General features: G+C 43.3%; 1 protein-coding gene and 2 pseudogenes across 14 annotated transcripts in view, besides 2 other annotated features; all 3 read left to right on the top strand.

Moving 5' to 3' along the window:
- The window catches only part of ERLIN1 (ER lipid raft associated 1), a 35936-nt gene extending 30094 nt beyond the window's left edge, over nt 1-5842 (top strand). For all 14 annotated transcript variants that reach the window (NR_144755.2, NR_144757.2, NR_144756.2 and 11 more), the window contains 2 exons: nt 997-1076; nt 3584-5842. Coding sequence is in view for 8 of the 14 variants with exons in the window: in NM_001347857.2 (NP_001334786.1) it covers nt 997-1076; nt 3584-3805 (302 nt within the window). In the remaining 6 variants the exon portion in view is untranslated. The remainder of the gene's footprint in view (nt 1-996; nt 1077-3583) is intronic.
- Nucleotides 6562-7761: an enhancer, noted in NCBI's record as "P300/CBP strongly-dependent group 1 enhancer chr10:101907932-101909131 (GRCh37/hg19 assembly coordinates)". NCBI's record gives its function as "activates an origin of replication core promoter dependent on BRD2, BRD4, P300/CBP, MED14 and CDK7 cofactors, with strong dependence on P300/CBP, by STARR-seq in HCT116 cells {active_cell/tissue: HCT116}" and the evidence as "EXISTENCE:reporter gene assay evidence [ECO:0000049][PMID:35650434]".
- Nucleotides 6593-6682: an enhancer, noted in NCBI's record as "active region_3880". NCBI's record gives its function as "activates an Ori minimal core promoter by ATAC-STARR-seq in GM12878 lymphoblastoid cells {active_cell/tissue: GM12878}" and the evidence as "EXISTENCE:reporter gene assay evidence [ECO:0000049][PMID:35858748]".
- On the top strand, nt 11931-12324 carry SPCS2P2 (signal peptidase complex subunit 2 pseudogene 2; annotated as a pseudogene).
- The window catches only part of CYP2C23P (cytochrome P450 family 2 subfamily C member 23, pseudogene), a 34398-nt pseudogene continuing 33793 nt past the window's right edge, over nt 15785-16389 (top strand).

The following is a 16389-nucleotide window of genomic DNA, read 5'->3' as shown; positions in this document are numbered from 1 at the left end:
AGCTTTCCTTTTCTTCCTTAAATTGGGGCTTATTAGCTACCACTTTATTTTCAGGCAGACAAGGTATGAAAATTACCCATAATCAATAGTAAAGAATATACAAGATAATAAACCCCATCTCTGGCCGGGCGCCGTGGCTCACGCCTGTAATCCCAGCACTTTGGGAGGCCGAGGCGGGCGGATCACAAGGTCAGGAGATCGAGACCATCCCGGCTAAAACGGTGAAACCCCGTCTCTACTAAAAATACAAAAAATTAGCCGGGCGTGGTGGCGGGCGCCTGTAGTCCCAGCTACTTGGGAGGCTGAGGCAGGAGAATGGCGTGAACCTGGGAGGCGGAGCTTGCAGTGAGCCGAGATCCCGCCACTGCACTCCAGCCTGGGCGACAGAGCGAGACTCCGTCTCAAAAAATAAAAAAAAAATTAAAAATAAATAAACCCCATCACGACCAGTTTCTTTTCCACCTGTCCAAAAAAAAAACAAAATTAATTGGGGGGAAAAACAGTTTTCATGGAGGGCCTCACACTACTTGATTTCACATAGTGAGATGTTGATGTTCTTAGCTCGGTCTTGAAGTCACTTGTTATATATTGCTGCTTCCTGTCTGTCTCTGTTGACTGATTCTGGATGAAATTTGGGGGGGGGCTGGAGACAATGCAGTAAATAGAGCTTTTATGTCTGGACTTATTTTACTTGAAGCTTAGTACCTGGGTGGAATGTAAGGCTCTGGGTGATAGGAGGTGGGAGAGTGGGTGGAGGAGAGAAGGAACAACTTAGAGTAGAAAACAAGTAGGCTCAGATGAGCTGAGAGTTATTTGACAGTGAAAAGAGTATTCCTCGTAGAGAAGTTGCTGTTTGGGGACTGGGACTTGAAAACTGCTAATAGGTTTTTAAAACTTTCAATGTGAAATAAGCAGTCACAATATTAAGCAGTGGGGAAAGGGACTCTTAACTAGCTGAGGGAATGGATTGACACCTTTCCTTTGTTTATTTGCTAGATGCTGCATTCCTGGCCCGAGAGAAAGCGAAAGCAGATGCTGAATATTATGCTGCACACAAATATGCCACCTCAAACAAGGTGACTGGCTCCCTGGCCACTTTCCTAATGATGCATTTCGGGGTTTTGCTTTCTCTTTTCAGGAGCTCTGATATGATAGAAGTGATTTTATCCATTGTCAAGAAAGTGTAGTGACCAAGACATCCTCCAGAATTAGTCAGTTAGCAAGAAATATTTCACATTGATTGGGTAGGGACACAGGCCAAATGCCGTAATTCCATTCATTTGTACTGCTATATAAGGCTGAATAATTAATTAAGTTGAAGGTCTTCTGAAATAAGAGTGACAGAAGAGTAAAGTCTATTTAGAATTGCTTTCCAAATAAGGTAGTTTTTTTGGTAGATACTTAGCTTGATTAGAGCAGTATTTCTCATCAAAGGCATTCCTGGCATTTGGGGTTGAGATACTTTTTCATTGTTGAAGACCATCTCATGCATTGTAGGATATTTTGTATCCCTGGCCCTTGTCTACTGAATGTCAGTAGTGGTCACCAGTTGTTTTAACTGCCACACACACATGCATGTATTTCCATATGCCCCTTGTTGAGTACTCCTTGTTTATTGGATTTAAAAAACTATTCCAGTCATGAGGAATTTCATGTGGGATAACTTGAGAAGGCAGGTTGGGTGATATATAGGTGATAATTTGGTGTAAGGACTGGGGTAAGCTGGCTAGACGGTACAGGGCTAGTGAGCAGGGGCTATTTAAGAGGCAGCTAGAACTCCGATAGTATTCTGAGAAGGGAAGGGTATGTCCAAGATTTATAAGGTTATCGTGGAGCAGATTGGAACAGATAAAGGGTTGAGAAAGAGATTACTAAAGTGGATGATGCAGTTTGAAGGATTAGAGTCAAGTTTTAAGATATAGACAGGGCTTTTAATTTAGAAAGGAACAACATAATCCGTATTTAGAAGAAATGATAAGATGATAGAATGAGAGTTGTCAGTACTTTGAAAACCAATATAAATTTTAAAATGAACATAACATTGAAAGACACAGTTCTATAGACACAGAATGGAATTTGGCCAAAAGAAAGGCATGACAGGAAACTCCAGTTGAGGAAACTAGGAGTCCAAATCTAATGGGAGAAGCTCGTCAGGCACAAGTTTCAAGACCTTGCCATTGAGGTCTACCTTATTCAGAAAGGGGCAGTAGTTTTATGCCATTTTGAAAAATGTGACTCAGATACTAACCTATATTAAAAAGGCTTGAGGAAGAAATGTGGTTGTGCACTATGACCAGATTTGATTGGAGTGTTTCGACAGAGGATATGAATCACCTGGAGAAGATAGAGATCCAAAGAGTGAAAGATGTCAAAGTGTAGAAAATAAATGCTGTAGGACTGTGAAGGACAAGATGGACTTTTGCCTGGGGGACAGGCCAGGACTCAAGATAAGGAGAGGATCACAGAGCAGGGTCTGAGGGGCTTTGAAAGGCATATGTTACAGGGAACAGTGGAAATGGGTTTTAATCAAATCCAGATAGATTCTGGTTAGATACATCTTGGCATCCTGATTTAGACAAAACAAAACAGTGTGACAGAGGGAGATCTGGTGGTCGACGAGTTTTAATCAAACCCAGATAGGTTCTGGTTAGATACATCTTGGCATCCTGATTTAAACAAAACACTGTCACATAGATCTGGTGGTCGACAAACATCTGTCTGTCACAAGCAGCTTAAACATCCAGCTTCTGGGGAAAGGCAGAAGGCCAGATCAGGTGACAACTTGAGATTTTATTCTAGTTCTAGAATTTGTTCAAGAAAAGCAGAATCACAGCTAATGATAAGATAATGAGCACCAGCCCTTCCTTTGAAGTTCTGCTCTCATCCACTGACCTGTGTATCTCTCTCAAGAGAATCAACAGAGAACCAGGCATGATGGCTCATTCCTGTAGCCTCCCTGGAGGCTAAGATGAGAGTATCTCTTGAGCCCAGAAGTTTGAGGCTGCAGCAGCGAGCTATAATTGAACCACTGTATTCCAGCCTGGGCAACAGAGTGAGATCTCATCTCCAGAAAAAAAAAAGGCTGGGTGCAGTGGCTCACATCTTTGATTCCGACACTTTGGGAGGCCAAGGTAGGAGGATTGCTTGAGGCCAGGAGTTTGAGACCAGCCTGGCAACATAGACCCCATCTCTACAAAAATAAAAATAATTTTTTTAGAAAAGAGAATCAACAGAAACTCCAGACCAATTCCAGGTTGAATTCAACTAGATGAAATGAAAGTCACTTTAGAAATATTAGTTATTATCATTAGTTATCACAAATTGTTTTCCAACTCCCCCATCCTTTTATTAAAAAGTGAACAGCTTCTCTTGCATTAAGTCAGGAGCTTAATGAAGGAATTTTAAGTCAGGAACGCAGCTGTTAATGTGATAGCCACTCTCCAAAGTGAGAGAGGGTCATTGGCAGTTATTCAGACTTGACTCATGATACTCAGGAGAGCAATAGGTGAAATGTATATAGGGAGAGAGAAGACTGTTGCACCAGAGTATTCTGATGCCTTTGCTCTTGTTTGCTCCCACACAGCACAAGTTGACCCCGGAATATCTGGAGCTCAAAAAGTACCAGGCCATTGCTTCTAACAGTAAGATCTATTTTGGCAGCAACATCCCTAACATGTTCGTGGACTCCTCATGTGCTTTGAAATATTCAGATATTAGGACTGGAAGAGAAAGCTCACTCCCCTCTAAGGAGGCTCTTGAACCCTCTGGAGAGAACGTCATCCAAAACAAAGAGAGCACAGGTTGATGCAAGAGGTGGAAATGTTCTCCATATCAAGATGTGGCCCAAGGGGTTAAGTGGGAACAATCATTATACGGACTCTTCAGATTTACAGAGAACTTACACTTCATCTGTTCCACCTCTCCTGCGATAGTCCTGGGTGCTCCACTGATTGGAGGATAGAGCCAGCTGTCTGACACACAAATGGTCTTTTCAGCCACAGTCTTATCAAGTATCCTATATGTATTCCTTTCTAAACTGCTACTCATGAATGAGGAAAGTCTGATGCTAAGATACTGCCTGCACTGGAATGTTAAACACTAAATATATAACAAGCTGTGTTTTCCTAAGCTGAGATCTGTTGAATAATGTTTACATTCGTCCCCCGGGGAAATGTATGCTCAGCCACCATTCAAGAGATGACTGAGAAGGAGATGGTAAGTTCAAGAAGACTGATTGCACCTGGGACCCAGGCCCTTTCTTTGGGATCCAGTCCCAGCCTTCATCCATGTGATTAAGATCCAGGCCGCTGAAGTTCCCCAGGAAATGATCTTCCACTTGAGCAACCTTTTACTTGATACGATTTGCACCTTTCTGTTTTCCTGCAGTCAGGGTGGTGGCCTGCAGGGACCTGAGCTTTGCTACCCAACCAGATTCCTCATAGAGATTCCTAATCACTAGTTTCTTGTATTCATAAACTCAGAGATACAGAGGGCTTGGTTTGAAGTTGGGGTGAGATGAAACCTTTGCTCTGAGCCAAAGCTCTGGGGCCTTGCATTCCCTGCATTGGGTTGATGACTGTCAGCATCACTGCCGCAGGCCATGCTTGACTAAGGTACCTGGTTTTAGCCACAGCCACCTCCTTGTATGTTACCTTTCAGCTCTGGCCAAGAGTGGGACAGGGTTTTAACCACAAATAGGAGCAGCATGCAATTCCTAGTGACTTGCTGCACAGTATTGTATCATAATTACAGGAAGTTTTTATTTTTAAAACTGGATCTGGGGTATATTCATTTGCCCCATCACCTCTGTCTAAAGGCCCAAGTCCTAGGGCTGCCATGGTCACAAGCACACTGATGCTCCTTAAGATTGTTTATCTGGAGCCCACATAGTGTGGAACAAAAAGTCACCTAGAAAGCATCCTTGGTCATCATTGTCTCCTTCCCACCTGGCCCAGAGATGCTTAAATCCAAGTTGTTTCTCCAGCTGTCACCTCCCCCAGGAGATCAGGATTCCACTGACGTCCTGGGCAGCCAGTGAATTTAATTTTCCATGAGAAACAACAGAGTTAACCTGTGGCATTAGGAGACCTACTTCATGTGGACCCTTTTTTTCCTTCAGTTTAACTTTTCTGGAGCAGTGTGCTGCGTAGTTCGGCCTGAGTTTGTGCAGCTTGTTAAGACAACTCTTGTGTACGCTATGTTGAAGCTCAACAAAAAAGTCATGGGACCACTTCTAGAAATCTTTCAGCTGTCAGGCCTGTCAGTCTCATGACAGTTTGTTGGTTGTGCCAAACACTTTATTTGGGAAAGGAAAGCCCAGATTTGAATGGGTCTTTCCCCTGGGCCTTATCCTATAGAGGCATTTGTAATATGGAGAAAATAATTTTTCATTTTTGCTCATTTAATTCTATAAATTCTCTTTATAAATGAATTTTGTGTTCTTTAGTTCTCCTTAAAAGAACTTTTGAATTATAAAAATAAAATCTTTACCTGTCGAATTGTTGCTGCAGATGATTGTTGTGGAAAATCTGGATCATTGACCTCTGTGCTTTCATTCCTAGAGATGTTTTATAGTTACATGAGCAAAAGCTGTTGCCCCAAAGTGATGGCCCTGGAGGCGGGGCTGAGGAACAGGGAAATGCCGCTGTGAAGTCTTAAAGCACTTCTGCTTAAACTCCCATGTGTGAGGAGTGTGCCTCCCTGTGCCCTCTCAGCTCTGAGGCTGGCCGTCTTTCGGGGTGTTCCTTTTGGCAAATATACACTGTAATCTTGAGTCTAAATTTATATGTTGAAATGCTACCTTTTTTAAAATAAGAAACTAAATAAAATTATTTTACTATCAGTGATTTGTGTTTTTTTTTCCCACGTCTTCATTTTTCTGTCATCTTAACATGCTCCTAAGGCTGTCTTGCACATTTCAACTAGGGAGCCAGTTTATTTGCGGGTTTAACTTAACTGTAGAGGCTTTTGTTATACTCTTGCCAGAATACTGCCTACCTGGTATAAGAATGTTTAAAACAAGGTGTCCACTCTTTGCTGACTCCTGGAATTTAACAAGGGGTGTTCTTCTAATCCTTTGTGGGACAGGGCCTGTGGCAGAGGGGCAAGGAGGGAGGATGGAGCATCAGGCCACTGGGATCCGTCCCTGAGAGCAAAAGTACTTCTGCACTGAGGAGGGGAGGAGACAGACCAAGCCAGAGAAGGACAATTTGTGTAAATTATAACTGGTAATGTAATGGCACAATATAACCAACTTGACTATTAAGATGTTAGCGGCCCAAGAGCCAGAGTTGGACCTGCTCTTCCCAAACGTTCTGTATTTCCTCCTGGGATCAATTTCCTGGTGATCTTGGGCCAGCAGGGAGTGGTAATGGGAGTTGTGGGGAAAGCAGCTCTTTCCTCCTGTTCTTATGGGATCAACCCCATAGTATCCTAGGTCAGTTGCTGTGGACCTGAGAATAATTTGAACTGACCATCCTATAGGTTATTGGTAGGTATTAAAATGAAGTGATTTCTGCCTCTTCTGTGGCAAAAGAATTTGTGAATTAGAAGCCGTGGCTTCTAATCGCTTTAGGATTAAGTCTCAAATGTGTACACACGAAGTTCGTGATCTGGCCCCTGCTGTCCTCTCCAGCCACCCTTCTCTAAGGTCCCTGAATGCACCTTCTGTCTGTCCCTTCTCATACGTTGTTCCATCTGCCTGGTTCACTTTCCTTCCCTCGTAGTGCTGACTTTCCTCAGCCAACTCCTGAGTCTTCATCACTTCTTCAGATGTAAAAGCTTCAGTTCACTTTGAACTGCTTGGCCTGGGTTAGCATCCTGTATTTCCCCCCCGTCACACATCATGCACACTTCATGTCTCATTATGTGCTCAATGTCTGTTTTCACAAATGCTAATCTCTCTGAGGGCGGGGGCGGGGGCTGTGGCTGTGCTGTTCCCTGGGGATTGTTTCTGTTGCTAATGCCTAAGATGGCATCTGGCCCATATGAGATGGCTTTGTTGCATGAAAGAACAAAAAGTTGAATATGACATGCAGGTAAATCAGGCAAGTGAGTCATGGAAAAAACTTAGAAGTGAGCCTACAGTGTCCATGTCAGGACTTTATGTGTAACCATGGGAAGTTACCTAACATCTCTGAACCTGATTACTCATCCTTGCAGGGTGACTCTTCAGTGGATTCAGGAGGATATGTTGTTGCATCTAGTGTAGAGATTCGCACGTGGTAATTGCTGGGATGCATTAGTTCACCTTGTCTACAGGAGTCAGTTGTCTACAGGAGTCAATATATGTGTCTGTCTCTGAGTAGCTATAAGTTCCCATAGTGGAGAGAGTGAGCACAGTGCCTGCTACCTGCAATTGCATAATAGAACACGTAGATTAATGTCTTCACCAGCTATGAGCTAAGCTAGCTGGATGTTAAACCCCAACCACAGCCCTCCAGGAGCATCCCAACAAGCTGGGCCAGCTTCTCATCTTTCTCCTGGTCTCTGCCCTGGTATGAGCACTTAAAATGAATTTACTGGGCCGGGTGCAGTGGTTCATGCCTGTAATCCCAGCACTTTGGGAGGCTGAGGCGGTCAGATCATGAGGTCAGGAGCTCAAGACCAGCCTGATCAACATGGTGAAACCTCATCTCTACTAAAAATACAAAAATTAGCTGGGTGTGGTGGCACGTGCCTATAATCCCCAGCTACTCAGGAGGCTGAGGCAGGAGAATCACTTGAACCTGGGAGGTGGAGGTTGTAGTGAGCTGAGATCGAGCCACTGCACTCCAGGCTGGGCGACAGAGCAAGACTCTGTCTCAAAACAAACAAACAAAAAAAAACAAAAAATTTACTGTTAATTCATTGCTCACTCCTAGTGTCTATTTTGACATAGACTGTAATGCAGAATGACGTTTTACTTGTTTCCCTTACCATATTTCTTCTGAATTAGTACCTGTCTTTCCAATTTTTCTTATTTCTTTCAATCAATTTTTCTACTTTTTTTTTTTTTAATTTTAAAAAATGTCTTCTTCCAGTGGGGCTCGGTGGCTCACACCTGTAATCCCAGCATTTTGGAAGGCTAAGGCGGGCAGATCAACTGAGGTCAGGAGTTTGAGACCAGCCTGGCTAACATGGTGAAACTCTGTTTCTACTAAAAATACACACAAAAAATAGTCTCCTTTCTTTCTTCCTATAAATATTTATTGAGTATCTACTGTAGGCTAGTTGCTGAGGCAACAAAAAGCCATATAGCCTTGTGTGTGTGTGTAGGATGGGGCAATACAGCAAGTAAGTAGGCAAGTGTGATAGTGTGGTAAGTAAGCAGGGTGTTCACTGGGTGCTGTGGGGCACCAGTAAAGATCAGCCCAGCCTTTTGGTTTCTAGGAAGCAATGTCTGATCTGAGCCAAATTTTTAAGGATGGACAGGAGGCAGACAGCCAGCTGAAGAGAGCAGTGGTGATGGTGGAGTGTGTTCCAGGCAGTGGGAGAAGCACTTGCTATTGCATTTCAAAATGCAGTGCCAGGAGGCATGAGAGGCTGTCCACTGCAAACCTTATGAGGCTCTACTATTACTTCATTTCATAGCTGAGATCTAGAGAGATTACATTACTCAAGATCCCATGAATATGAGTGGCAAAGTAAGGATTTGAACCTGTCATATTCCAGATCCAAGTTTACCACAGCCCTTTATATTTGCCTTTGAAGCCATTAGGTTTAGGGTGATGAAAGCTCTAAATTGAGGGGAGATTTTAGAGGATGTTTATAGAGATTTGTAAGCCCTGCAGTCGAGGTCAGGAAAAGGGATAATGAGATGGTTCATGTGTGAAGTGGTGACTTATGGGTGACTTCTCTGCCCTCTGCAGGACTTGGCAGAGGTGCTCTTAGTAAGCTGAGCGGTATGACAGCTGATTCCAGAAAGATCAGCCCTTTGGAGCCTGGGGGAGCAGCTCCCCTTATTTGGGTTACAAAGCAAGTGGAGGTGAACAGTGCAGGGCTGATGGCACAACACCCAGATCCTGTTTGCAGATGTTAATCACTCATTCTCCTGGTTGCTGGGAGTGTTCATGGTGACAGCTTTTAGCAGAGTCGCTCTGCAGAAATTTTCCTCGGCTAAAGACCCCTGCCCCGGGCCAAGATCACATCCCCTTCCTGGGGACAGCACATTCCATAAGTGGTTGATGCAGGGGTAGAAAGGCAATTTGTTCAAAACAAAATTGCATTGGTTTTCTCCATATGCAAGTCTGTCAGGGTGTGCATCCTAATAGGCACAATAACTGTAACTGGATTTCAGACACCTAAGGCAGGTTCTGACAAACTGGGTGTGTCTGATGCCTCTGGCGCCCTATCGCAATTCCACTCCACCCCACCTCTAACTCCAGCTGTGGCCATGGTAGACAGTTCCATGAGGCATCAATTCACTTTCCTCTGACTGCATCTCACCTCACACATGAGCTGCACTTACTGCTTTTCACCCTAGGGATCCTCCAACGCTATGGAGGCTGCAGTCAGTCCAAACATATGCTCAACTCGAGCACAAGAATTAATAGCCTCTGGGACAACCCCCAACTGGTAGGAGACAGGACCACAAATGGTTAGAGAGGAGGTGACCCAAAAAAACCTTTTCAATGGAGACAGCAACCCTCCTGACACAAGAGAAACTGTGAAAATCACATTAAATACAATTCGACAGATGTTTGTTGAGTACCTGATATGTGCCAGGAAACCTAAAATGTATAAAGTAATGGGCCAGTAATGAACAACAGTGAGTCAGACAGACATAGTCTCTGCTCTCTTAGAATCAACAGTCTTGGGCTGGGCGTGGTGGCTCACGCCTGTAATCCCAGCACTTTCGGAGGCAGAGGCAGGCGGATCACAAGGTCAGGAGTTCGAGACCAGCCTGGCCAATATGGTGAAACCCCATCTCTACTAAAAATACAAAAATTAGCCGGGTGTGGTGGCATGTGCCTGTAGTCCCAGCTACTTGGTAGGCTGAGGCAGGAGAATCACTTGAAGCCAGGAGGCAGAGGTTGCAGTGAGCTGAGATCACGCCACTGCACTCCAGCCTGGGGGACAGAGTGAGACTCCATCTCAAAAAAAAAAAGAACAGTCTGGTGGGAAAGTAGACCGTAACCAAAGCACTTGAGAGACTTATCAAAGTGGGAGGAATGCAGTGCTAGGAGGGTCTCAAAAAAGAGGGAGAAGATAAAGAATGAAAAAGAGCATCCGCCAGTTAAAGATCGGGGAATAACAACTCAATAAAAAGACAACCCAATTTTAAAATGGGCAAAGGATCTCAACAGACATTTCTTCAGACAAGGTATACAAATGGCCAATAAAAACATGAAAAAGGGCCGGGCGCAGTGGCTCAAGCCTGTAATCCCAGCACTTTGGGAGGCCGAGGCTGGCGGATCACGAGGTCAGAAGATCGAGGCCATCCTGGCTAACACGGTGAAACCCCGTCTCTACTAAAAATACAAAAAATTAGCCCGGCGTGGTGGCGGGCACCTGTAGTCCCAGCTACTTGGGAGGCTGAGGCAGGAGAATGGCGTGAACCCAGGAGGCGGAGCTTGCAGTGAGCCGAGATCGCGCCACCGCACTCCAGCCTGGGCGACAGAGCAAGACTCCGTCTCAAAAAAAAAAAAAAAAATGAGAAAGATGGTCGACATCTTTAGTCATTAGAGGAATGCAACAAGATAGCCACTTCACACCCACTAGGATGGCTATAATAAGAAAGGCAGTAACTAGTGTGGGCAAGGAAGTGAAGCAATTGGAATCTGCATAATTTGCTGGTAGGAATGTAAAATGAGGGCACTGCCTTAGAAAACATTTTACAGTTTCTCAAAATGTTAAACAGAGTTAACATACGATCCAGCAATCTCACTTCTGGGTATCTACCCAAAAGAATGGGAACATGTCCACACGAAGACTTGCGCTCTATAGCAGCATTATGCATAGTAGCCAGAAGGTGGACACAACCCCAGAGTGTCCATCACCTGATGAATGGATAAATCAGATGTGGTCTATCCATGCAATGGAATATTCTATAAAAAAGGAATGAAGTACTGATGCATGCTACAACACGAATAAGCCTTGAAAACATTAGGCTAAGAGGAAGAAGCCAGGTTCTAGTTACATTAAATGTTCATCATAGACACATCCCTATGGACGAAAAGACTGGTGGTTGCCTGAGGCTGGGAGGAGAGGGAATTGAGTAGCTGCTAATGGGCACGGCGTTTCTTCTTGGGGTAATGAAGAGATTTTAAAATTTGATTTTGGTGGTAGTTGCATAATTCTGCATATACTAAAAACTATTGAGGCTGGGCACGGTGGCTCACGCCTGTTATCCCAGCACTTTGGGAGGCCGAGGTGGGCAGATCATTTGAGGTCAGGAGTTTGAGACTAGCCCAGCCAACATGGTGAAATCCTGTCTCTACTAAAAATACAAAAAAAAGTAGCTGGGCCTGGTGGCCTCCGCCTGTAATCCCAGCTACTGGAGGAGGCTGAGGCAGGAGAATCACTTGAACCCAGGAGACGGAGGTTGCAGTGAGCCAAGATCGTGCCACTGCACTCCAGCCTGGGTGAGAGAGCAAGACTCCATCTCAAAAAATAAAAATTTAAAAAATAAAAAATAAAAACTACTGAACTGTATACTTTAAATTATAAATTACATGGCATATGAATTATATCTCAAGCTGTTTTTTTTTAAAGGATTGAGTAATAGTGTGAAGACCTCAGTTCAAGAACCTTCCAGAAATGGTAAAAAAATATTCAATATAGGTGCAACATTATTAGTGAGAATGAGAGCACCAAAACAGGAGGCTGAAGAGGTGGGTGTGAGAAGAGGGGAAGGGCAAGGTAGAGCATGGTGGGCCTTCTAAGTCTTATTACCCATTGGTGGCTTTTCCCAAAGGTTGGAAACAAACCTTTCAAAGAAAGCTTTTTGCGACAAGATGGCGGCAGCTGCCCAGGGCAGGAGAAGTGGTGGTGGCGGAGGCAGTAGTGGGGCCAGCGGTGGTCTCAGCTGCGCGACAGGCAGTAGCCTCAGTGGCTTGTTGGCTAAGTGGAAGACGGATGAGAAGCATGGAAAAACTGACAAGTGGGATGGATCCGCTATGAAAAACTCTGGATGATTCTGCCAGAAAGGTACTTCTGGAAAAATACCCGTAGGGGGAGAATTTTGGTCTCATTGACATTTGCCTCACTATCTGATTGCACTCCTGTTTCCTTACCATAGTAGCTTTGATTTGGGATTCTGTGCACCCCTTTGCCGAGTCCAAGCCCGTTTTGGCCATGTACATCCTATCCTATTTTGTGATGATGGGGATTCTGACCATTTATTTATTTTTTTATGTTTTGAGTCAGAGTCTCGCTGTACCACCCAGGCTGGAGTACAGTGCCACAATCTTGGCTCACTGCAACCTGTGTCTCCTGGGTTCAAGTGATTCTTGTGCCTCAGTCTCCCAAGTAGCTGGGATTATAGGCACATGTCACCAAGCCTGGCTGATTTTTGTGTTTTTAGTAGAGACGGGGTTTTGCCATGTTGGCCAGGCTGGTCTCGAACTCCTGGCCTCAAGTGATCTGCCCGCCTTGGCCTCCCAAAGTGCTGGGATTACAGGCGTGAGCCAGGTGCCCAGTCATGACCATTTATATAGCTCACATAAGAAGAGCGTCTTTCTTGTGGCCCACAGGAAGGATCCTGCAGGAGTGGATCCTGATATTTGGCAGCTGGCCTTCATCAATGGGAGAAGAAGGCAGCTGCGGGAAGCCAAGTTCACCAAGTTCATTGCTAAGTTTTTTGACCACGGTGGGACACTGGTCAGGGATGCATAAGAGCCTAAAATATCCAGGCTCCATGACAGTCTCACCACAGAAAGAAAATAAAATAGCCAGTTCTCACAGCAGCCCTCTTTCTGCTGGATCATGCTGAAAATATAGAAAATTTTAAATGCGTAAAGTAAGAAATGTTTAAAATGTCCCTGTTTTGTCCTGAAATTTTATTCTGGATAAATAGGATCTTCTAGCAAGATATGAGAAGGTGTAGCCCTGATGTCTGGCTGTAACCTCCTTGGTCTGCTGATTACATTGTTTTGATTTGCTTTTCTGGAAAAGCACTTTTGCTAAAAGCGGTACAGATTTTTTCTTTTGAACCTAGCAGTACTTTATATAGTATAGCTTTGTGCCACGCAGTGCTTGAAGACTCAATTTAAAAATATTATTAGGCCAGGCGTGGTGGCTCATGCCTGTAATCCCAGCACTTTGGGAGGCCGAGGTGGGCAGATCATGAGGTCAGGAGTTCGAGACCAGCCTGGCCAACATGGTGAAACCCCGTCTCTACTAAAAATACAAAAATTAGCCGGGTGTGGTGGCAGGTGCCTGTAATCCAAGCTACTTGGGAGGCTGAGGCAGGAGAATCGCTTGAACCCGGGAGGCAGAGGTTTCACAGCCGAGATCACACCACTGCACTCCAGCCTGGGTGACAGAGCGAGACTCCATCTCAAAAAAATAAAAAAAGAAAAAATATATATATGTATATATATGTGTGTGTGTGTGTATGTGTGTGTATATATATATACGCACATATATATAATTAACCTGTTGCTGACTCTTTTTAATTCCTATTTCAACATGTGTTTCCCTGAAGAATTCAGGATACAACTTCTTGTGTATGACAGGTTTCCTTCACACATTGTTTTTGTGAGTGTGTACATAGCTGATGGGGAGAATTTTAAAAATACATCGCTTTAGAAAATTGGTTTAAAACAGACCTTCTGTCTGTTACATTTTGTGCTCTTAATCAATTGAAGAAGCCAATGGCATTTTTAGTTTTATATTGTGTTTTCCACTAGTATATCCCTGTTGATTCATTGCTACTTTTTATTAACTGACATTTTCTAAAATGTTTTTCAATAAAAGGAAAGAAGATGTGGGGGAGAAAAAAAAACCTTTCAAGAGTTTTAAGCAGAAGACGGACATGATTCTGTCATTGTCAAAGTACCCTTTACCCAACGTGTTTACCAGTTCCCTCTATTTATTCACCTGCTTTCCACATCCAAATCAACATTGAAGTTCTAACTTTTCACAGTATTTCAAAGTCAATAATTTACTTCCCTGAAATGTCTGCAAGTGTATACTCGCAGAAACAGCAAAAACACCAGTGGATGCTGGTTTCACAGACGGTACCAAAAGGAAGACAAATATATGTGAGGTCCCCCAGCTGATTCTCTCTACTTTGGTTTTTCTCCATGCACAAGCCCAACCTCAGCCCTGGCCCCATCCTCATGGGCCCTAAAACCCTTTACATAAAAATCCTCCTGGTCCTTGTACTAGTGGATACGTGAATGCAGGCTAATCAGCAAGTTTGCTTAATGGAAGTAAATAGTCTGCTGTGGGAAATACAGAGGGATGGCTCTGAAATAAGAGAAAAATATCAGAGTTGAAACCATTTAAGAATTTTAGTGCTGCAGAGATTTTCCATGTTTGCTACAATAAGTAGTAGGAAAACCATAGTGGATTTTCTTTTTAGATTTTTTAAAAGATGTATTACAGTAACAATTTAATTCCCTATGAAATAAGGTATAGACCATGAGACATTAATAGGAAGATTTATTTCAAAGAATAAATCTCAGGATCTTGGAGAATTTGCTATTATTAAAAATCAAAGAATAAATCAATAACAGCATTATTTTAAATGCAAATAAAAATGAGTTAACATTTTTCAACTACCAAGTTAGTAGAGGTTTTCTTTGTCTTTATTGTGGCAAAATGTAAACAACAAAAAATTTACCATTTCAACCATGTTTAAATTGTACAAGTTAGTGGCAATAAATACCATCACTTTTATCAATTTTCAGAATTTTTTCAACATCCCAAACAGAAACTCTTGCGACTATTAAACAATAGCTCCCTGCCTTCCTCCTCCTCCCAGCCCCTAGTAACCTACCTCTATTCTACTTTCTGTCTCTGTGAATTTGCCTATTGAAGATACCTCATATAAGCAGAATCATACAATATTTGTCCTTTTTTGTCTGGCATATTTCACTTAGAATAGTGTTTTCAAGGTTCATCCATGGATAGCATGTATTAGAATATCATCCCTCCTTAAGGGTGAATAATATTCCATCGTACATGTAACTACATTGTATTTATCCATTCATCTGTGGATGGACACGTGGACTTTTTTTTCGAATACCTCAATTCACTGTCAAGAACACAGGAGACTTCTAACTGATGAGAGAAATGAGAAAAATGATGTTTGAGGAGGATGACTTTGACAGCTGTGTTTTTCCAAATCAGATCTCAGAATATATGACCTGTTTTTTATAATTTGTGAAGTTAATTATTTGAACAGTTTCAGAAAGCTATGAAAAATAAAATGAAGTTTTATATGTAATGAATCATCAATGCTGAAAAAGAAAAAGTACATATAATGGGGATGCTTAGAAATTCAGAGAAAAGTTGCAGATTTTCTGAATAAGAGGTAGGGAAGGATGAACCCTTCTTAATCTCAAGCTTCAGCAAAGTCAACAAACTCAAAACCTCTTTCCATTTTTTTTCCAAGTCCAAGAACCCAGAGCAGCCTTTGTCCAGCAGGGACAGACTGGTTCCAGATGAATGTCCTGTGCTGCTGCTTCTGTCCTAGAGAATATGTTTTTGCAATGAATTTAGGGAGATAATATCTTTCCCCCAAGCAGCATTTCCAAAGGTACGAATATCAGCCAGGGTAGCCAGCTGGGCTGCTCCTCTGCAAGCTTTTGCTTTCTGACTGGTGACCCAGATGGTTGCTAACACCAGGGGTGAAATGGGGTTGCTGGCACCCACTGCTCGGCTCTTGCGATGTGCGTCACTTGCCTGATTTTCTTTTTGGTGTGGAAGAAAAGTCCCAGCCCAACTCCCCTTCCCACGATTGGGAATAGGCTGCAACGAAACCCCAAGGATGCCCTTGCATCTCTCTCCAAGATAAGGGGCTTTGATTCCAAGGCTGGTCATCTCTAGGCCAGGTTCTGCGTCTCAGACCACTGCAGGCCAGCAGTCTTACCTCAGCCTTTCTTAGTTCTTCACATCACGGAGCTACTTTTGGTTGTTTATTACTGTCATACAAGACAGATATCCTCTGGCTTTAGGACTGGAGCACTGCAGAGCAGGTAGTGAGGGTGTTGACCTAACTTGAGTTATTGGCTGAATTCTAGTGAATGAGAAAATCCTGGGGACAGAACATATTTTAATTGGAAAGCTTCCAATGCCCCCATCATATAACACCAAAAAGCAAGCCGTAGAAATGTAAAAATGTAATAAATTGGATCACCTGAGGTCAGGAGTTCGAGACCAGCCTGGCCAGCACGGCAAGACCCAGGCTCTACTAAAAATACAAAAATTAGCCTGGTGTGGTGGCACGTGCCTATAGTC

This window comes from Homo sapiens, chromosome 10, assembly GCF_000001405.40.
Source record: "Homo sapiens chromosome 10, GRCh38.p14 Primary Assembly".
Classification (NCBI taxonomy): Eukaryota; Metazoa; Chordata; class Mammalia; order Primates; family Hominidae; genus Homo; species Homo sapiens.
Note: the sequence above shows the minus strand (reverse complement) of the source record. Positions and strands in the feature narration are given on the sequence as shown.